This window comes from Homo sapiens, chromosome 7 (genome assembly GCF_000001405.40).
Source record: "Homo sapiens chromosome 7, GRCh38.p14 Primary Assembly".
Lineage (NCBI taxonomy): Eukaryota > Metazoa > Chordata > Mammalia > Primates > Hominidae > Homo > Homo sapiens.
The window spans coordinates 117387004-117409418 of NC_000007.14; the positions used below are offsets into that span (position 1 = coordinate 117387004).

Consider the following 22415-nt stretch of genomic DNA (forward strand, 5'->3'; position numbering starts at 1 on the left):
AAAATATATACAACTAGCCAGGTGTGGTGGCTCAGGCCTGTAATCTTACCACTTGGGGGGCTAAGGCAGGTGGATTGCTTGAATCCAGGAGTTCGAGACCAGCCTGGGCAACAGAGGAAAGCCCTGCCTCTACCTCTACTTAAAAAAAAAAAAAAAAAAAAATTAGCTGGATGTGGTCTGCACAACTGTAATCCCAGCTACTTCAGAGGTGGGAGAATCACCTGAGCCTGGGAGATCAAGGCTTCAGTGAGCCGAGATTGTGCCACTGCACTCCAGCCTAGGCAACCAGAGTGAGACCCTGTCTCAACAACAACAACAACAACAACAACAACAACAACAACAACGCCACCCAAAACCCCCACATACACACATACGTGGCAACAACAAATTATTTGAATTAACCATTCGAATTCAAATTCTTCATTACATCTAAATCCGAACTGTTGATGTCTCATCTCCACTGCACTTACCTGCATAATAACCCAAATCTGCTCCTCTCAGTCTTCCCTATTTCATAAAGCCACCATTAACCACATTACTCAGGCTTAAGACTAGGCATAATTCATGACTCTTCTCTGTCATTCCAAGTACAAGTCACCGGCAGCTCCTATTAGCCCTGCCTTCATAATCTGCTTCTGATCACTTTTCATCACCTCATTAGCCACTGCAGTGGTCCAAGACAACATCATCTTTCTCTGATTTATATTGCCATAGTCTCATAACTGCTCTCCTCCATGCTTCCATTCTTGGCCACTTACAGTTTATTGTCTTTGAAAATGCCAAGATCTCCCCTTTGCAGGAACTGTGCAAGTGCTCTTGCCTGTCCCCAGACCTTCATATTGCTAACTCCTTATTCTTATACAGATCCTTATTAAGAGAAGATCAGTAAAATTTTCAAACCTCTAGCTAGACTGATTAAGCAAAACAGAGAGAAGAAACAAGTTACCAGTATCAAGAACAAGAGAAGTAACATCAGTACAGATTATCCAGATTTTAGAAGTATGAGGAAGTATTATGAACAAATTTATGCCAATAAATTAGACAGTTTAGATGAAATGGATAAATTTCTCAAAATACACAAGCTACCACAGCTCACTCAAAAAGAAATAACCTGAATAGCCCTAGACTTATTTTTTAAAAACTTAATTAGTAATTATAAATTAAATTAAATTTTCCACAAAGAAAACAGCAGGCCAGATGGCTCCACTGGTGAATTCTACAAAACAGTTAATGAAAACAACATCAATTCTAAACAAACTCAACCAGTAAACTAAAGAGGGGAAGATGCTTCCCAACTCATTCTATGAAGCAAAATTACTCTTATACCAAAACCAGAGGGTGCCATTATAAGGAAAGAAAACTATAAACCAATAATCTTCACTGAAAATAAAAATGTTTTAAACAAATTTTAACAGAATCCAAAAATACATAAAAAGGTTAATACATCATGACTACAGGCAATTATCCTAGGAATGCAAGGCTGGTTTGATATTTGAAACATCAATCAATATAATGTACCATATTAACAAACTAAAAATGAAAAAAAACCCTCAACAAATGCAGAACAAGTATTTTACAAAATCCAACATTTATTTCTAACAAAAACACTCAGCAACATAGGAATAGATGAGAACTTCCTCAACCTGACAAAAGCATCTATGGAAAATTTACAGTTAACATCATATTTAATGGTGAAAGAGTACTTTCCCCCAACATCAGAAACAAGACAAGGATGTATGCTCTCACATTTCTACCCAACATTGTATTGGAAGTTCTAGCCAGCGGAACAAGACAAGGAAAAAGAAAAATGGTAGGCCTCCAGATGGGAAAAAAAGCAAAATTGTCTTTATTCACAGACAGCATGATGTATATAGAAAACCTGATGGACTCCACAAAAAAAGTACTAGAACTAATGAATTTGGCAAGGTTACAGCATTCAAGAGAAATATTTAAAAAATCAATTGTATTTCTTCATGCTAGCAATGAACAACATGAAATGAAAATAAAACAATACAACTTAAGTAAAAATATAAAAGCCAGGAAATCTATTGCTGTTTATTAGAAATGCACCTAGTATTTGCATATATGCATATATAAATACAGGGTGATGGTGATGTATTTGAATATATCTGACTTACAGTTGTCTAAGTAACAATTTGGATCCAGAAGTCTTTTTTTTTTTTAAGATTCAGGAGGTACACGTTAAGGTTGGTTAATGGGTATATTGTGTGTTGCTGAGGATGAGGTTTGGTCTTCTATTAATCCCACCACCCAAGTAGTGAATATAGTACCTAATAGGTAGTTTTTCAACCCTTGACCCCTCCTTGCCTCCTCCCCTTTGGATTCTCTAGTGTCTATTTTTAACTGAGCATCCCAGCCTCAAAATGCATTTTAAAACTTTTTTTCCTTTCTTGTTTTCAGCTTTGAAACATATTTTGAAATGCTTTGTTTCTACTTTTCCCACCAGGCACTTCAATGAACAGTGCTTGCTTATCTAATTATGTGCTTGCTTAGGTAATCCAGGGGCCAATTTTGAAACAAACCAGGCAGAGAGATACAGCTCCCACTTAGGGGTAGTTATGAACAGTTAACCTACCACTACCAGGCCAAAGTCAGGATGAGGCAAACCAGACCTTCTGGACAGGCAATTTCTCAAGATAACCATTGAAACAAGTCATGCAGACCTGCACCCTCGGGCAACACTCCTGCATATTTCCCACACCTTTTCCTTCTTAAACCCCTTCATTTAGCCCAAAAAGTTGGAATGGTCTTTTGAAGGCATGAGCCTGGCCATTCTCCAATTGCTAGCATTTGATAAATAAAATTACTTTCCTTTCACCACATCTCGTTTCTCCTATTCTTGGTTTATGGGCAGCCAGCAGCTGGACTTGAGCAAGTTACCTATTGTTTTCATCTTTATATGCATGTGTACCCAATGGGTAGCTCTGACGGATAAGTGAGAACATGTGGCATTTGGTTTCCTTTTTTCTTTTTTCTATTTCTACATTAATTCATTTAGGATAATGGCCTCCAGCTGCATGCGTGCTGCTGCAAAGGACATGGTTTCTTTTTTATGGCTGTATAGTATTCCATGACCTATATGTGGCATATTTTCTTTATCCACTCTTGAGTTGATGGGCACATAGGTTGGTTCTATATCTTTGTAACAGTGGGGGTTTTTTTTTTGAGACAGGGTTGTACTGTCACACAGGCTGTAGTGCAGTGGTACAATCATGGCTCACCGCAGCCTCAACCTCCCAAGCCCAAGCAATTCTTCCACCTTAGCCTCCCAGGTAGCTGAGACCACAGGCATGTGTCACCACACCTGACTAAATTTTTTATTTTTGTAGAGATGGAGTCTCTGTATGTTGTCCAGGCTGGTCTCAAACTCTTGGCCTCTAGCGAGCCTCCCAGCTAGGCCTCCCAAAGGGCTGGGATTATGGGCATGAGCCACCATGCCCAGCTGCTATTGTGAATGGTGCTGTGATAAACATAATGAGTGCAGTGTCTTTTTGGTAGAATGGTTTATTTTCCTTTGGGTATATACTCAGTAATGGGATGGCTGGGTCAAATGGTAATTCTAGTTTTAGTTCTTTGAGAAATCTCCAAACTGTTTTCCACAGTGGTTTAACTAATTTACCTTCTGCCAGCAGTGTACGTTTCCCTTATCTCTGCAGCTTCACCAACATGTTATTTTTTGACTTTTAATTATTTTTTTGAGAAGAAGCCTCACTCTGTCACCTAGGCTGGAGTGCAGTGGCACAATCTTGGCTCACTGCAACCTCTGCCTCCTGGGTTCAAGCGATTCTCCTGCCTCAGCCTCCTGAATAGCTGGGATTACAGGCGCCTGCCACTGCACCTGGCTAATTTTTGTATTTTTAGTAGACACTGGGTTTCACCATCATGGCCAGGCTGGTCTTGACCTCCTGACTTTGGAATCCACCTTCCTTGGCCTCCCAAAATGCTGGGATTACAGGTGTGAGCCACTGTGCCCGGCCTGACTTTTTAATAATAGCCATTCTGAAGGGTGTGAGATGGTACCTCATTGTGGTTTTGATTTGCATCTCTGATGAGTAGTGATGTTGAGTACTTTTTCATGTTTCTTGACTGCTTGTATGTCTTTTTTTTTTTTGAGAAGTGACTGTTTATGTCCTTTGCCTACTTTTTAATGAGGTTATTTTTCTTATCGATTTAAGTTCCTTATAGAGCCTGGATATTTAGTCCTTTGTTGGATGCATAGTTTGCAAATATTTTCTCCCATTCTGCTGATAGTTTCTTTTGCTGTGAAGAAGCTCTTTAGTTTAATTAGGCTCCACTTGTCAAATTTTGTTTTTGTTGCATTTGCTTTTGAGAACTTAGTCATAAATTCTTTGCATAGGGTAAGGTCCAGAAGAGCATTTCCTAGTTTTTCTTCTAGGATTTTTGTAGTTTGAAATCTTGCATTTAAGTCTTTAATCCATCTTGAATTGATTTCTGCATATGGTAAGAGGTAGGGATCCAGTTTCATTCTTCTGCATGTGGGTATCCGGTTTTCCCAGTGCCATTTACTGAATAGGGTATCCTTTCCCCACTGTTTATTTTTGTTGACTTTGTTGAAGATTAGTTGGTTGTTGGTGTGGGTTCTCTATTCTGTTCCATTGGGCTACATGTCTATGTCTGTACCTGTACAATACTGTTTTGATTACTGCAGCCTTTTAGTATAGCTTGAAGTTAAGTAATGTGATGCCTCAAGCTTTGTTCTTTTTGCTTAGAATTGCTTTGGCTGTTCAGGTTCTTTTTTGGTTTCATATTTTTTTTTCTTATTTTTTGAGACAGAGTCTCACTCTGTTGCCAGGCTGGAGTGCAGTGGCATGATCTCGGGTCAATGCAATGTCTGCCTCTGGGTTGAAGTGATTCTCCTGCCTCAGCCTCCCGAGTAGCTGGGAGTACAGGCGTGCACCACCAGGCCCAGCAAAGTTTTGTATTTTTAGTAGAGACTGAGTTTCACCATGTTGGTCAGGCTGGTCTTGAACTGCTGCCGTCAGGTGATCTGTCTGCCCTCTGCCTCCCAAAGTGCTGGGGTTACAGGTGTGAGCCACTGTGCCCGGCCTCATATGACTTTTAGAATAGTTTTTCCTAATTCTGTGAAAAATGACATTGGTCATTTGATAGGAATCACATTGAATCTGTAGATTGCTTTGGGCAGTACAGATATTTTAATGATACTGCAGTCTTCCATCCAATCTGTGATCACGGAATTCTTTTTCATTTGTTTGTCATTTATAATTTCTTTCAGCAATGCTTTTCAGTTCTCCTGTAGAGATCTTTTACCTTCTTGGTTAGATGTATTCTAAAAAAGGAATGGAAAATCCTTTTTTTCAGCAGTGTTTTTCAGTTCTCCTGTAGAGATCTTTTACCTTCTTGGTTAGATGTATTCCTAGGTATTTTAATTATTTCATTTTTTGCAGTTCTTGTAAATGGAACTGCACTCTTGATTTGGTTCTCAGCTTGAACATTATAGGTATATAGAAATGCTTCTGATTTTTGTGCATTGATTTAGTATCCTGAGACTTTACTAAAGTTATTTAACAGGGGTCTATGGAGTCTTCTGGGGGAAATCTTTAGGGTTTTCCAGGTATAGAATAATACAATAAGCAAAGGCATTTTTAAACATTAATAATATCATACTGTTCATACAATGTTTTAATTTGCCGATAAATGAATTTAAAATTATTTTTCCTCTGAGGAAATTTCCTCTGTGCTTTCTCTGAATCACACAAGTGCTGATATAAAGGCCTTGTGTTGTCACTTTTACCAGTTCTATTTTAATTAATCCAGAAATTACCAGAAATTATTAAGATATATCTTTTTTTTTTTTTTTTGAGATGGAGTCTCACTCTGTTGCCCAGGCTGGAGTGCAGTGGCACAATCTCTGCTTACTGCAACCTTTGCCTCCCAGGTTCAAGCAATTCTCCTGCCTCAGCTTCCTGAGTAGCTGGAACTACAGGCGCATGCCACCATGCCTGGCTAATTTTTGGTATTTTTAGTAGAGACGGATTTCACCACGTTGGCCAGGCTGGTCTCAAACTCCTGACCTCAGGTGATCCGCCCAGCTCAGTCTCCCAAAGTGCTGGGATTACAAGCATAAGCCACTGAGCCTAGCTGGGTAGCATAAAAAAAAAAAATTCTTAAAAGACTTTCTTTGTGGTCTACAACATAACTTCTGTTGAAAATAATCCATGCATGTAAATTATGTTAAAGTCAGAATTCTAGGTAAATATCAATTAGATACTCTTGTTGATTGTGTTATTCTATATCTTTATTTTTTGTCTAATCTGTTTTTCTAAGAGATATACTAAAGTCTTCAAATATGATTATAGATTTTTTATTCCTTTTTTTAGTTCTACTAGTTTTTGTTCTATGTATTTAAAAGCCATGTATATTAAAACTATCTTGTTAAATTGTTGCTTCTATCAATATCATTTTCTCTTTGGTCCCTTAAGTAATGTTTGCCTGGCATTTTATTTACTACCCTAGGGGTATTTTTTTATCTTGATATTTACCAGGTATAAATATTTGCTGAATAAATGGCATTTAAAAAATCATTTTATTTATTTTCCACTCTAATGTAATGTTTTATTTTTAGGTGTGACTTCACTAGATTTTGCTTTTAGCCAATATGAGAGTTACTATTACTTTAATAAGTGAGTTTTACCGATTATATTACTTTTCTTAGTTATTAATATGGCTGGACTTATTTCTGACATTTTTGCACTTTCTGTTTATCATGCGTCCATAATAAATACATGTTTCCATGTCTCCTTGGACATAGAATCACCTTGTTAGATTGATCAAGTTCTCTTAGTTTCACTCCCACCCACTCCATCTGAAAGCTTTTAATTTCATTATTTTCTTCAAGTACAGTACTTAAGTCCTCTTCTCTTCAACATGCTTATCCTTACTATTCAACAAAGAGAAAAGTTAATAAATAACTATACATAGTTTCATGAGAAAAGAGATGTTTACTTTTATGTTGCTTCATTCTCTCCTCAGCTACTAGAACACCAAACTTATTATATGATGGAAATTTAATACAAATTTATCATAAATACTCTCCCCCACCCTGGCCCCCCTTTTTAGGAGACAGGGTCTTGCTCTGTCACTCGGGCTAGAGTGCAATGGCATCATCATAGCTCACTGCAGCCTTGACCTCCTGGGCTCAAGCCATCCTTCCACCTCAGCCTCCCGAGTAGCTAGGACTACAGGTATGCACCACCATGCCTGGCTAATTTTTAAAATTTCTGTTGCCTAGGTTGGTCTCAAACTCTTGCGCTCAAGCAGTCCTCCTACCTTGGCCTCCCAAAGTACTGAGATTACAGTGGTGAGCCAAGCCTGGCCAAGATGGTCATTTCTTGACAGGAATTTTCTTGATATGTAAATAATCTCTTCTGTAGTTAACTTTTAGGATTTTTGCCTTCATTCTTAATGTTCTGAAGTTTATTGTGATGTGTCTACATATTTTAATTAAAAATGTATATATATTTATCTATTTGTATATAAATCTTTATTCAGTGATTCTTTCAATCCTACCAATTTGTCTTCAGTTGGGAAACATTCTTGGTCTTTATTGCTTCAAACATAGTCTATCTTCCATGTTCTCCTTTGGAATTATTATTTGACAGATGTTAGGACTTCTGGAAAGGTTCTCCATGTCTCTACCTTTCCTTTATACTTTCCATTTCTTTAGCCCTTTGTGTTGTATTCTTGGAGATTTCCTCACCTCTATCTTCTAGTCCACTACTCAGCTCTTCAGATGAGTCCCATCTACTCTTCTACCTCTTCTACACAAATACTTAGTTTTAATATTCAATAGTTCCTTTTTTCATAATTCACTGTGCTTGTTTTTTCATTTCTATTGTTATTTTGTGAAGGCAAATCCCTCTTTTATTGTTCAGGAATAAAGGCCTTTTTAGATTCCTCTATTTTTCCCACTTTCTCTAGTTTAAGTCACTCTTTTGTTGAATTTGTTGTCCCTGTTTCATGACACCTACATTCTTCAGATTTTGGTGATTTTTGGTTGTGCACCTACCTTCTGGTCTATGGCAAAGGCCTCCAAACACAGAAGACAAGATAACCTTGTCTATCAGTAATGCAGATTTTAGGTATTGCTAGAGTTTCCCATCTGTTTCTTTCTTTGGCGAGCGACTCTTTTTCCATTCCAGAGATAACTTTTTTCTTTCAAAAATAACTTTATCAAAATATTTTAATAGCTTTGTATCTAAAGCTTTCTGTGGAAGGGCAAGACTTTAGCATATTCTCAGTTTAAGAGCTTGAATTCATAAGCCTATTTTTCCAAAAATTCTTTTTTTGGTCATGTTTTTCTTCCAGAATTTTTAGAATCATTTCATCAAGTCAAAACAATCTGTTTGGCACTCTGAATACGATGTTTAATTCTATATATTTAGATTTTTAAAAATGTCTTTTTAAATACTGATTCATCCTAGTCAAGATGACAACCAACATCCAGCCAACATGACGTGTATATTCAATCTTCTTTTATTTTACTTGGTGTAGTTTTACATTTTTCTTCATTTAGACCTTTCACATTTTTAAATCAAATTGTAATCTCAAGCTTTTCGTTTCTTGTGAGTTGGAAACCAAATGAAGTTTGCACATTAGTTTTGTAAAAACTACTACACTGTATGATTGTTATTTCTGAGTTGACTATTTTCGGTTTACCAAGTATATATTAATATAATTTAAAAATTATGATTTTGTTCTCCTTTTCCTAATAAAAAAGATGTAATAGTTTAATTAGAGGCATAGTTCAATGGTTTACATCAGCAGTCAGCAAATTTTTTCTGTAAAGGGCAAGACAGTAAATATTTTGGGCTTTGTGATGCATGCAGGGATTTGTTACAACCACTCAACTCTGCTGTTGTATCATGAACATAGCCATAGACAATACATAAACAAATGAGCACAGCTGTGTTCCAGTGAAACTTAAGAAGTCTGCCAACCTCTGATTTAGAATGTTAAGCTGTGGAGTCAGAATGCCTAGGTCAAATCTAGCTTTCAACATTTACTGGCTTAGACAAGTTTCTTAAACTCTCACTGCCTCAGTTTCTACAACTTTATATGAGCATAAAATAGTTTCTATATTTGTGACACCTATTTGTGTTAGTATCACAATCTGTGATGAGATAATAATATTCAGTAACAAAGAACAGTACCATGCACAAAGTAAATTCTCAGTCATTAATAGGTATTTTTATTATTAACTACATCTTGTATTTTTCTTGCATAACTGAATTGCCTTACAGTTCCCAAAACAATGGTAAAACTAAAAGTGCTTACAACAAGCATCCTTTCCTTGTTGCTGACATTAATGCAAATGCTGCTAGCTTCTCCATTAAACGTGTAATTTGTTTTGTCTTCAGATATATGTTTTCGAAATTAAGGAGCTACTCATCTAATCATATTTTACTAAGGTTATAAAAATCAGAGATTTTAACTTTTATAAAATATCTTTCTGGCATCTATTATAATGATAACCACCTCAAAAATCCTCTGACCTATTTATGTAATTGTTTCCCTAATATTGAACCATTTTTGTATAGATGACATGAATCAATCTGATCACAGTATATTATTCATTTACTTTGCTGATAACATTAAATTTGCTAATACTTCAAGTGGTTAAGATTTGTGTATCCATGTTCATAACTAAGATTGATTTGTAAGACTTCTTTAAGTGGATCTTTGTTAAATTGGATTTCAGAATCAGTGTTATGTTTGCTTTATAAACAAGAAATGAAAGGCTTTTTTTTCCCTTAGGTTTTGATAGTATTAATGTAATCTATTCCTTGGAAGTTTAAAATAAGTAACCTATTAAAATCTCTGAGCCTAACACTTTTTTTGGAAGTTATCTTTCTGACATTTTTTCTCAAAAAATGCATTCAAAATCACAACATAAAAAATTTTAAAGCATAAACAAAAACCAAACTAGAAATAGCATCTACAACATGTATTAAAATAATTAAATTAATTAAAAATAAAATTATTTAATTTAATAACAATAATTAAAATACCTAAAAGAATTAAAAAATACCTACCAGACATGGTGGCACACACCTATAGTCCAACTTCTTGGGATGCTGAGGCAGGAGTATCTCTTGAGCCCAGGAGTTCAAAACCAGCCTGGGCAACATAGTGAGACTCTGTCTCCGAACTGAACCGAACCGAACCGAACCGAACCGAACCAAACCAAACCAAACGCAATAAAAAACCAAAGTAAAAGATCCAATATACAAAAGATTCTTGTTAATCAGTAAGAAACATGTGAACCACCAAACAGCAAAACTACAAAGTACACAGGCAATTAGTAGACAAAGAAATACAAACAACTTACAAAAATGCGCAAGACTAATCAATTATTATTAAAAAGCATGCAAACTAAAATGAGGGATCATTACTTGCAATCAAACTGTAAAGCTGAGAACATAAAAAATATCTAGTGCTGTCACTATGTATGTCCTCTCAAGTACTGTTGGAGATAGTGTAAATGTTTTCAATTTTTTCAGAAGACGATTTGGTAACACCTATTGAGGCTGGAGAATAGGGTCTGAAGGCAGGGAATTTAAGGCCAATTCGTGCTAATTTCCTAAAGCTGGAGGAAAACACCTGGGTCTGAAGGCAGAGAACATAAGGCCAATTCATGCTAACTTCCTAAAGCAGGATCAAAAGAAAAATCCCCATCTCTCCACAGCCTAGTAACAAAGGATCAGAGGCTACTCCCCCTACAAGCCTCTCTGTTCCACTAAGTCTCAGGTGGAAAGGGAAAGTGCCATGGATTGGCTGTGGGCCAAGCATGGGCTATCCCTTTATCTGCATAGGGTGCCAGTCCACTCTGGCCTCTGGTTGTCCACAGGCGAACTCACCTCAGCTATTAATCGGCCACAGGCCAAATCCTTCATCCACATAGTGGGTAGCCAATAGGGACCTCAAAAAGGGTACTTAAACCCCAGAAAACCTTGTGAGCAGGGCCCCTGAACCACAAATGATGTATTTTTGTTTCTCTGTACTAAAGGTAAAATGGTTGGTCTTCATGTCATATTTTTATATACAGTTCAGTATTATCTGATCTTTTTTAATCTGCTTAAAACACTCCTATCCTATGGAGTGCTATCTCGCTTCAATATATCCCTACTTTCGCTGTTTCGTACCTTTCTTACTTTGTGCATTTTGCTCAACTCTGTTCAACACGCCAAGAACCTGGATGTCTCACGCTCAAGGCCTATCTTCCCATAACACTATCACAATTATAAATACACATCTACCTTTGTCTCAGCAGCTCCACTTTAGAGATGTGTTCTATCAAAAAATCTATTCAAGTTGCCAAAGATGTTCACTGAAGTATTTTTTTGTGAAACTAAAAAAATGGAAACAATCCAAGTGTTCTTCAATGAAATACTGGATTAAGATATCACATCCATACAGTGGAATATTGTACAGCCACTATAAAAGAGAGAAGTATCTCTATACATACTGGCAGGTATAGTGCTGATGAAACACTGTTTAGTTGCTCTTGCAATAATCTTTTAACTGGATTTCTTGATTCCAATTTATCCTCCATCTGCTGTCAGAATAACCTTTACAAAATACTAGTATGTTCATTATTCTTAAATTATTCAATAGCTTTCATGATAAAAATTCGTATCTCTCAGTAGGATTACACAGGTTACTATCTAGCCTCTGCCAAAGTGCATCAATTCTGACCCACTTTCTACTCTAATATCTCATGAGCTGGTTAAAATATTTCTAGATACACTGTTTACAACTGCCTAAATGAAACAGGCTCTTTCCTCCTTCTCCACTTGCACGTGCACCTACCTCTAAACTGAATATTCATTTTTATGATCTTCAGTTGGCTAACTCCTACTTATCCTTCAAAACTAAGTTTGAGGCTGGGCGCAGTGGCTCAAACCTGTAGTATCAGCATTTTGGGAGGTCAAGGCAGGAGGATCATGTGAGCCCAGGAGTTCGAAACCAGACTGGGCAACATAGTGAGACTCTGTCTTTACAAAAAATTTAAAAAATTAGCCAGGCATGGTGGTATGCACCTGTAGTCCAAGCTCCTTAGGAGGCTGAGGCAGGAGGATGGCCTGAGCCCAGGAGGTCGAGGCTGCAGTGAGCCAGGATCACACCATTGCACTCCACCCTGGGCACAGAGCAAGACTGTGTCTCAAAACTGAACGAAGCTGAAACTAAATGCTAAAAAAATACAAAACAAAACAAAAACCCCAAAAACCAAACAATAAAAAACAACTAAGTTTGAGGAATGAACCTCTAGGAAGGTTTCACTTGTCATCTGCATCTCAGTTAAGTTTTCCCAGTTTTTGTTCCTAGAGACACTTTCTACTACCTCTAATCTTCCTATATTGTAAATGCCTATAGCCTTGGAATCTCTTCCGTACTGTCAAATTCTTGACACAAGGACTGAGTCTTTCATCTTCTAACTCTTAGCGTTTAGCATGTATTAATTGTGTAACAGAAACCAATTTTAAAAATCAATGACATTAAGTGATTTTTTTTCTTCATCTACCAGGCTTCCTCAAAATTTTTTACATTCAAGAGTTGGCTACATGTAAAGTGTCCAGAACAGGCGAACCTATAGAGTTATAAGGTAGATTAGTGGTTGCTAAGGGGTGGGGGCTGGGAGGTTTGGGTGGGAATCAATGACAGCCAATGCATATTAAGTTTCTTTGGGGAATGATAAAATTGTTCCAAAATTAGATAATGGTGATGGTTTCAGAATGCCGTAAATATACTTAAACCATTGAATTCTACACTTTAAGCTTTACAATATGTAATTGTATTTCAATAAAACTTAAAAAAATAAAAGTTGGTTAAAAAGAATAAAGTTTACGTACATGATGTACCCATAATTAAACTTTATTTCTGGATGATACAGAACCTTTTGTTAGTCTCAATTTCTGGTTATTTCATTTCAATAAAATTTCCACTAGAGGGCATTCAAAGAAAAGCAGAAAGCAAAACTCAATCTGACAGAAAAATAATATATTTTCACAATGATGTATTTGTCACGTCTCTGTACTGGGGTAAAATGGTTGGTCTTCATGTCATATTTTTGCATATAGTTCGGTATTATCTAATCTTTTTAATCTGCTTAATACACTCAGTTTATAGTTGAGAGATTAATGAAACAACTATGATAAAGGAAATTTCGACAATGATAAAATGCTAGGAATTAGATATCCATTTCCAGCTATCAGAAAAGTTTTGTTAGATCAAACCTCCCACTGAAAAAGACTGTAAAAGCTGATAAAATACAAATATGCCTGGAGACACAGTAGAAAAACCAAGGTTGCCAGAACAGGAGAAGCCAAGCTCCTGGAGAGAAAAGCAGCATTTGGTGAATTGAGTTTTATATCCTCTTCCACTTTTTGCTTTTAGACATTTGCCAATTAGCATTGGCAAGTGCTAATGGGTAGCATTAGCAGAAAGCAGTAACTTTAGGCCTTCTTATGGTGATGGGGAACTCCAACACAAAAACTGGAGTTCAGGTCTACTAAAGCACTGAGAACTTCAAGAATCAAGAATCTGGAAAAAGGGGAGTAACAGAAAGGTGACCCTGCAGAGAAGTGATCTTCTGTCGGACTTCTGCCTTCAAAGTATTTTCAGGGGCTGAAGAAGACTACAACCACCAAGCTAAAACTAGATGCTAAGAGGGCTTTGAGCATTCCCACAAATAGCAGAGGAAATAAAAATTGGCATTCATGATCCTCAAAGGGAGAGTGGCTCAGATAAACACCCCAAGTTTGAATTGAGACTGTGGAAAATACAGGAAATAAACTGATCCTGAAATCCAGCCTTGAACCATCTTAATCCTTGATTTAATTGACGTGATCTGCCCTTATTCCAACTATCAGTCAGAAGAAAATTAAATATTTTCTGGAAGCAAACAGACCTGTACCAAAGTTTTATATAATATCCAGCATTCAACCAAAAGCTACCAGGCATCGTAAATTGTAGAACTAAGAAACAAGATTAATGAAATCGAAAAGCTAATAGATGGGTTTAATAGTGGATTAGCTACAGAAGAGAATTAATGGCCTGGAAGATAGACCAAAAGAAAATACCCAGTGTGAATATGGAGAAGATAAAGGAAGAAAAGAGTGTTAAGAAACAAATGGGATATAGATGTAATGGTTTAAATCTCAATTGGAGAGGAGAGAGAATGAAGAAAAAGCAGTATCTTAAGACATACTGCCTGAAAAGTTTCCCAAACTAATGAAATACATCAAACAACAGATTTAAGAATTCCTGTGGGACAAAAACAAAACCCCACTATACATAGGGATATCATAGCAAAGCTGTTTTTTTTTTTTTAAAAAAAAAGACCAACAGAAAATATTAAAAACAACCAGAGGATAAAATCTAATACCTTCAAAGAATCAACAATAAGAGTAACAGCTGACTTGTTGTGCTGGACCCCTACTGGCTCCAATAGGGATGGCACTATGTTTAAGGGGTTGAAGGAGAGACCCAGAATCAACAAATGAGACATAGAGTTTACTGAGAACTTACAGGGCAGTCCATGAGTGACAGGCTGGACAAGAAAATTGCTACCATTTGTAAAAAGCATTTATGTTACATAGCATTTTTACTTTGTAATTTCCACCTAGCAATCTTCACCTAGCAACCTCCACTTAACCCCAAACAAAGGGTCTCTAATCCCCTGTACAGCCTGCATTCCAAGAAATGGGCCAGGGGTTCAGATGTCCTTCATAGGTAAGGAGTGAATCTTCGGGTTGGCCACTCCCGGATTCCTTAGCTTGGAAGCTCGAACACAAACACACATTCTACTTAGACCATACGGCCGTTCTTAGGGTATGCTGGAGTTACTGCTGTAAAGTGCATCTGCCATTCACTCCATCTCAGCATATTCTTGAATGGCCCTCATATTTTTATCATGTTTTTTTTGAGTGATTTTTGGGGGCCAGGTATGTGGAGGAGCAGTATGTGCAGCCAAATGCTGTGGCAGCAATACAAACTATTAACAAAAGAGAATAACGAACATACTAGAAATCATACTGTACTGAAGGTTTTTCTAAGCACTTGAGAGTTAATTAAACCTGGCTCAGTGACCTCAATCAAAGACTGTCCTTCAGTTGTCAAACAGGTGACAGGGCTGAGCACCAAATGGAACTCTGCACTTAAGGAACTATTGATGTGCTCCCTTTGTTTGGAGCCTAATGTTGCAAGTATGTATGCTATTTGGCCACATCTGTCTCTGGGAATTCCCAGACTTTGGTTTCCGGGAGGTATCCTTTAACCAAACTGCTATGGGATACTGAGTGCATACCAGCACTGGGAGCCCCTTTGTCACGTTGGCATGTTGTAAGAGGTGATATTTAGCATTGAGTTGTTGCTCCATGATGATATATTTAGCTTCAGCCCCCTTCCATAGTTGGGACTAGAACCCTAATGGCACACCCCTCAGGGTAACTGGCTATGTCCAATTCACAAGGTTGTCCCTGTACTAGAGTTTCCAGAATTTATATTTGTTTCATTATGACTTTAGTTTGTTTAAAGGCCTCATCTTTCTCTGTGGACCAGTTCCAGTGAGCCCCCATCTTGACTAAGTGGTATAGGGGCCTGAGGAGTTGGGCCAAATGGGGAATAAAAGGACTAATACCCTATAAAGCTTAAGAAGGTCTGCAACTGCTTTGGTGTGGTAGGACGCGGGTAGTCCTACGCCTTATCTATAATGGCAGAAAGAACAACTTGACTTTAGTCTTACCCAACCAGATGACACCGAATATTTAATAAACCTGGACCCTTAAATGTCTGTGCTGCCCATACTCCGTTTGCCAAGCGAGACGGCAAGGTGGGGACTAGCAACCTCCATTACTAACCCAAAGGTGGGGCTGCAGTTTGTGAGGTAGAAAAAGACTTAGCATGATATCATCAATTTAATGGAAAACATGTACCCTCTCCAGGGTAGTCCATCGACTGACATTTGACGTCTGTGGTCATTAGACCCTCACAGATAGTGGGGCTATGTAAATATCCTTGGGGCAAGATGGTAAAGGTCCGTTGTTCTCCTTTCTAGGTGAATGTAAATTGGTCTTGTCTTTGGGGCAATGGGGATGCTGAAGAAGGCTTGGTTAAATTAATAAGAAAACGTTACGTACCAAGCACCTGTCCTATTTTCATCAGAAGGGAAGTGATATTTTAATTTCTGGTAATGTATTGTTATTTTCCAAGTCCCGTCAGGTTTTTGCACAGGCCATACAGGGTTGTTGTATGGGCTGTGCACTACTGGCCTTATAATGTCCACCTGGGCTAACTCCTTAATACTTTCTGTGATTTTATCATGCCCCCAAGCCCCACTCACGAGTGGTATTGCTTCAGCACTACTATTTGCTATGGGGCTGGGCAACTGTATTGGTGTCCATTTTGTGTTACCGTGATTATGTTTTGTCATCCTAACTCTCAGTTGGAATTTTTTGGCAGTTTGGAGGGTCAAGCCTGACAAAATACTCGTTCCCAAGATGTATTTTGGGACAGGAGCTATATATACTAAATAGGGTCTTCGTGACAGTCTCCCAACTTGTAATACTAGTTCAACATTTATACCTCATTCCCCATCACCCTTTACTATCTATTGCTGTTATAGGTCCTTGGAACCGATAGGTGTTACCATATATGAGTGCACTTGGCTCCAGTATCCACTATAGCAGGGGTCCCCAACCCCCAGGCAGCAGACTGGCACTGGTCTGTGGCCTGTTAGGAACTGAGCCGCAGAGCAGGAGGTGAGTGGCAGGTGAGCGAGCATTACCATCTGAGCTCCACTTCCCATCAGATCAGTGGTGGCATTAGATTCTCATAGGAGTACGAACCCTATTGTGAACTGCGCATGCGAGAGATCTATGTTGCATGCTCCTGATGAGAATCTAACGCCTGACGATCTGAGGTGAACAGTTTCATCCCGAAACATCCCCCTGCCCCTAGTCTTAGGAAAAACTGTCTTCCACAAAACTGGTCCCTGGTGCCAAAAAGGTGAGGGACCACTGCACTAGAGCAAGCACAGTCTATTTTTAGGTGACCTATATATAGTTTTTATATGAGGCCTCTGGTCCCTGGCCATCACTGTTTGTACTGGGATTCTGAGGCCTTGGCCTTTATCTTAGGCTAAAGGGGTTAGTGCCTGCCATCTCTCTGTGGGAGGGGTGGTGGGCTGAACCTGAGGCTCCTTAGTGAAGTGCTGCTCCGGCTTGAGTTTTTATTACAGTCTAACCCAAACAGTATTAGGCTGTCTTTTTTTTTTTTTCAGTAGGTATCCCTGCCATTAGCAGGTTGCCTACATCTATTGGCAAATCACTCTGATAAGCCCCTTGACTGTTTCCTTTTTTTTTTTTTTGACTCCTTTGTCTTTCATCCAGCAGTGCATACCTCTTACTTATGCAGTTTTTGTTTCCCTTAAGTCGAGGGTCACTTGGGCTGCCCAGGATACTGGCTTCCATATTAGGGTGCTTAAGACAGAAACTGGCATCCTATATCACTACTTAGGTGTCAACTGCAGAATTCTCTTTTATTCTGGCAGTAACCAATTCACTTTTGGGATCGTGCTGATTTTTAGCATAAATATTAATAGCATGTTTCATCCCCAACTCCCAGAGGAGGTCCTGCAACTTTTTCATAGTCTGCCATTGCAAAGGAGATGTGGAGATGTCTCCCTCATTTGGCCAGGCCCCCTTGAAGCCCACAACCACTCAGCTAAGGAGGGGGATGGTCTGATCCCCATGATTGGTGCCATAGAAATGCTGCCTCAGGACCAGGTGCTTTGTGATGGATGCCATTTTATTCATCTCGAATCTAGAGAGTATAGTATTCTCTACCCCTACATCCCATTGACAGAGAAACCACCCTATGATTGACTCTCTCCCCTTCTGTTTGAACCTATTTCCCAGTTCCACAGTGGTATAATACCACATTGTGGTGTGCTGCCCTCTTTCAGGCAGGGCAAGTCTTGAGGGGCTTCCTTTTGTGGGGTCCACTTTTACCTTGGTGGTGGCCAATGTACATGCAGACAGTATGGGAACCTCTATGGACTCATCCCAGTCCTCTTCCTCCTTCCCACTAGAGCTCTCCATGGGGTCCCAGGACTTAGTGTCCCAGGATGATTTATTCCTGACAGCCCTAACTTGTCAGCCTGACAGTTGAAGACTCTTCAAATGAGTTACGTGGTAAGCCAGAGTGTCCATTCTGTCATTTTGTTTGCACAGGCAGGACAGTTAGGTCTCCAACATTTTAGTCTGAGCTAACTAAGCATTTCTTTCTAATCACAGCTTGTCTTGTAACTGATGCACCCTTGCCTGTGCAGTGACCTCAGCCTCCACGGCTCCTCGACACACAGGAGCTGCCAATGAACTATGGCTATCACAGCGTGGGCATGTGACTTTCACTTAGTTGGATCTACCCCCTGCACCAGCTCTTCCAGACCTTTTGATGTTATGAGGGCATCCCCATACTCATGCAGTGGGCCTCATCCATCAAGGATAGCAGTCATTGGGCCTCACATAGATGTGGATGGCCATCCCAGCGTTTCCCTTGTGGATTTCCTTTTCCCTGATCGCATCATCTTGGTGCTCACAGGATTCTTTCCAACTTCCTAGCTGGATTGCCAATTGTTGTGTGGGACCTCTACTGACTCAAATAGGGATAGCACCATGTTTGAGAGGCTGAAGAGGAAACCCCAAGCCAGTGAACGAGCCATAGGGTTTATTAAAGACATACATAAGGTGGTCCAGGAGCAATGGGCTGATTAGGAAAACTGCAACTATTTCTAAGAAGTGTACAAGTTACACAGAATTTTTACTTAGCAATCTCCACCTAGCAACCTCCATCTAACCCAAAACAAAGGGTCTGAATCCCCTGTATGGCCTGTATTCCAAGGAATGGGCCAGGGGTTCAGATGCCCTTCTTAGATAAGAAGTGAATCTCTAGGTTGGCTACTCCCAGATTCTTTAGCTCAGAACTCCAAACACATACTCTCCTTAGACCATAGGGTCATTATCAGAGTATGCTTGAGTTAATGCTGTCGGGCATAGAAGCTTTCAGTAAAAATAAGAGACAACAAAATGATAGCTTTAAAGTACCAAAAGAAAGTAATGCTAACCTAGAATTCTATACCCAGTGAAAATAACTTTCAAAAATGAAAAGCAAAATAAAAATACATTCAAAATAAAAATGCTTTGAAACAAAAACACAGTCACCAGCAGATGTATTTAAAAAAGGTTTTCAGAAGAAAAATGATCCCTGATTAAATCCCTGTTTAAAATATGAAAATAGAGGATGGAATGAAGAGAGCCATAAAGATGAGTATGTGGGTAAATCCAAATAAAAGTTGGTAATAATAACATAATTGATAGCAATACTAAAATGCTAATAATAAATTGTGAGGTTTAAATAGAGATAGATTTCTATAATCCCAGCACTTTGGGAGGCCAAGGCAGGCAGATCACCTAAGGTTGCAAGTTCAAGACCAGCCTGACCAACATGGTGAAACCCTGTCTCTATTAAAAATACAAAATTAGCCAGGCGTGGTGGTCCATGCCTATAATCCCAGCAACTTGGGAGGCTGAGGTAGGAGAATCTCTTGAACCCGGGAGGCGGAGGTTGTGGTGAGCCGAGATTGCGCCACTGCACTCCAGCCTGGGCAACAAAGAGCGAAACTCCATCTCAAAAAAAAAAAATAGCGATAGATTCAAAATATATGACAACAATAGCACAAATACAGGGGTGGAATGGGCAAAAATGAGGTTAAAATATTCTAAGATTCCTGCATTGTCCAGGAATTGTTAAAAGTACTAATTTAGAGTAGACTCTAATAAGTAAAGAATGTATGTTATAATCTCTAGGGTAGCCACTCAAAGAATAATAAAAGAACGAATAACTACAGAAAGATAGAAAATGGAATAATAAAAAATAATATTTGATTAATCAAAAAATAATCAGAACTGGGAAAAAAGAGCACTGACTAATGAAACACCGATCAGTGTGCACATTAAAGGCAGGTAGACTAAACAATGAAAAGAAAACTACTGTCAATCAATCTGGATTAAAAAAGGGGAACTATATATTACTTACTTTAAATAAAAGCACACAGAAAGGCTGAAAGCAAAAATATGGAAAAACACTATACACATGCTCAAGAAAGCTGATATACCTATACCAATATTAGATTAAGTATATTATAATGAAGTAAGAATTACTACATACAAAGGGGTACACTTCATAAAGGTAAAAGGTCAATGCATCAGGGATATAGGAGGCTTAAAAGATGTAAGGAAAAGTTGACCAAAATGCAAATCTCAGTAACTGATAGAACACGGAAGTAAAAAAAAAAAAAAATCAGGACAGTAGTCCCTGCTTTATCCATGGGGGATATGCTCCAAGACCCCCAGTGGATGCCTGAGGCCACAGATAGTAGTGAACCATTTAAATACTATGTTTTTTCCTATACATATGTGCCTATGAAAAAATTTAATTTGCAAATCAGGAGCAGTAAGAGATAACAGGAACTAAGAATAAAACAATTGCAATAATATACTCAATAAAAGTTATGTAAATGTGATCTTTCTCTCAAAATATCTTATTGTACTATATTCACCCTTTTTCTTCTTGTGATGGTATGTAATGATAAAATGCCTATGTGAAGAGATGAAGCAGGGTGAATGACAGGCATCGTGACATAGTGTTAAGCTACTTTGACCTTCTGTAATGTATACACAATACATTAGAAGGAGGATCATCTGCTTCTGGTGATCCTACATTATCAAGCCACGACAATGTCAATGGTTGGATGTCAGAAGATAATGTAGATGACGAACGGGCAGTTAGTGTGTATAGAGTCTTCGTCCAGATACACTGAACAAAGAGATAATTTACCTCCCAGGTGGGAAGGAGAGGGATGGTGTGAGATTTCACCATGCTACTCTGCCAGTACTTTCTCATGTTCACCAACTCAAAAGCTCTCTACAAATCCTACAGTTTAGGGTTTTTTATGAAGGAATGGTTAAATCATTCGCCATTGGTAATTAGCTCAATCTCCAGTCTCTCTCCTCTCTCTGTGGAGGTCAGGGGGTAGTGTTAAAAATTTCTACCCTTTAATCATGTCTTGGTCTTTCTGCCTCCGTCCCCCACAACCAGTCATCTCATTAGTATGAGATGTCTAAAGACTCTTATCATTTGGGAGATTCCAAGGCTTTCAGAAGTTCTAGTGTCAGGAACCAGTGGTTAAGACCAAATATTTTAACCAAACATGCTTTATATCATTCAAAAGATCACCCCTATCATTCAATAAATTACAAGGCATGAAGGAGCTGTGCCAGGAACCAGGGGACAAAGACCAAATATATATTTATTATATCACAGTATCACAGTAGACCATTACACCCAACCATTGCCAAATCACATTATTTTATAGTGCAAAAATTGACCATAGGTTGGGTTATAAAGAACATCTCAACAAATTTCAAAGATCTGAAATAATATAGAATATGTTCCTTCACCATAGTGGAATTCAGCTAGATATTAATAACGAAAAGCAAAGTAGGAGAATAAACAAACTTTAATATATCCAAACATTAGAACATTTCTCAGCAATAAAAAGAAATGAACTACTGATACACAAAACATAGGTTCTCAAAAACATGCTGAGCAAAAGAATTCAGACATTAAGAAGTACAATACTGCATAATGTAGTAAACAGCACTAATGCAGGGTAGGAAAAAAAAATGAGTGGTTGCCTTCTGGGTTCAGGGGATTATCTTGGAAGGGGCCTAAGGGAGATTCCTAGGGTGAGGAAGAATGTTCTATATTTTGAAAGAGATGTGGGTTACATGGGTATATGTGTCACAATAAAAAATCTACACTGAAGATCTGTGCATTTCATTTTGTAAATTAGATCTCAGTAAGTGGAATAAAAAGTATGTCAAGTGGCATTATATAATGTTTATGGATGATTATATACACACGCACAGATGGATGATCATATGTGTAATTTAACTTGGGCAGAAAAAATACACACAAATTACAAGACTGTAGTTGCTTCTATAAGAAAGAAAGAAGGAAAGGGAATATGATTGGGGAGGATACAAAGGGTCCTTTAACCACATTATATTATTTTATTTAAAACATATTTAAAGCAAAATTACAATAATTAGGCAAAACATGGCTTTTCAAAGACTGTGTGAACCACAGTTTTGATATGCTAACAGCTCTAATAAGAACAGGTAAAACAAGGAAAGAATTTATTTTAAAAAATTATTCAGAATTCTAATAGTTAAAAGTTAAACATATTAGCAAAAAAGAAATCTGCTTTAAGTCAGTGTTCCTTTACAGTT

The 22415-nt window shown here is 38.1% G+C and overlaps 1 protein-coding gene across 3 annotated transcripts in view, besides 1 other annotated feature; it reads right to left on the minus strand.

Moving 5' to 3' along the window:
- ASZ1 (ankyrin repeat, SAM and basic leucine zipper domain containing 1) overlaps positions 1–22415 on the minus strand; it is a 64272-nt gene that overhangs the window by 23782 nt on the left and 18075 nt on the right. The gene's annotated exons all lie outside the window — the stretch shown is intronic.
- Positions 12492–13691: a DNaseI hypersensitive site, noted in NCBI's record as "DHS-79.5kb or -79.5 kb or -80.1 kb site observed in multiple cell types; the nucleotide coordinates are approximate for this feature". NCBI's record gives the evidence for it as "EXISTENCE:in vivo cleavage assay evidence [ECO:0001075][PMID:7540005]".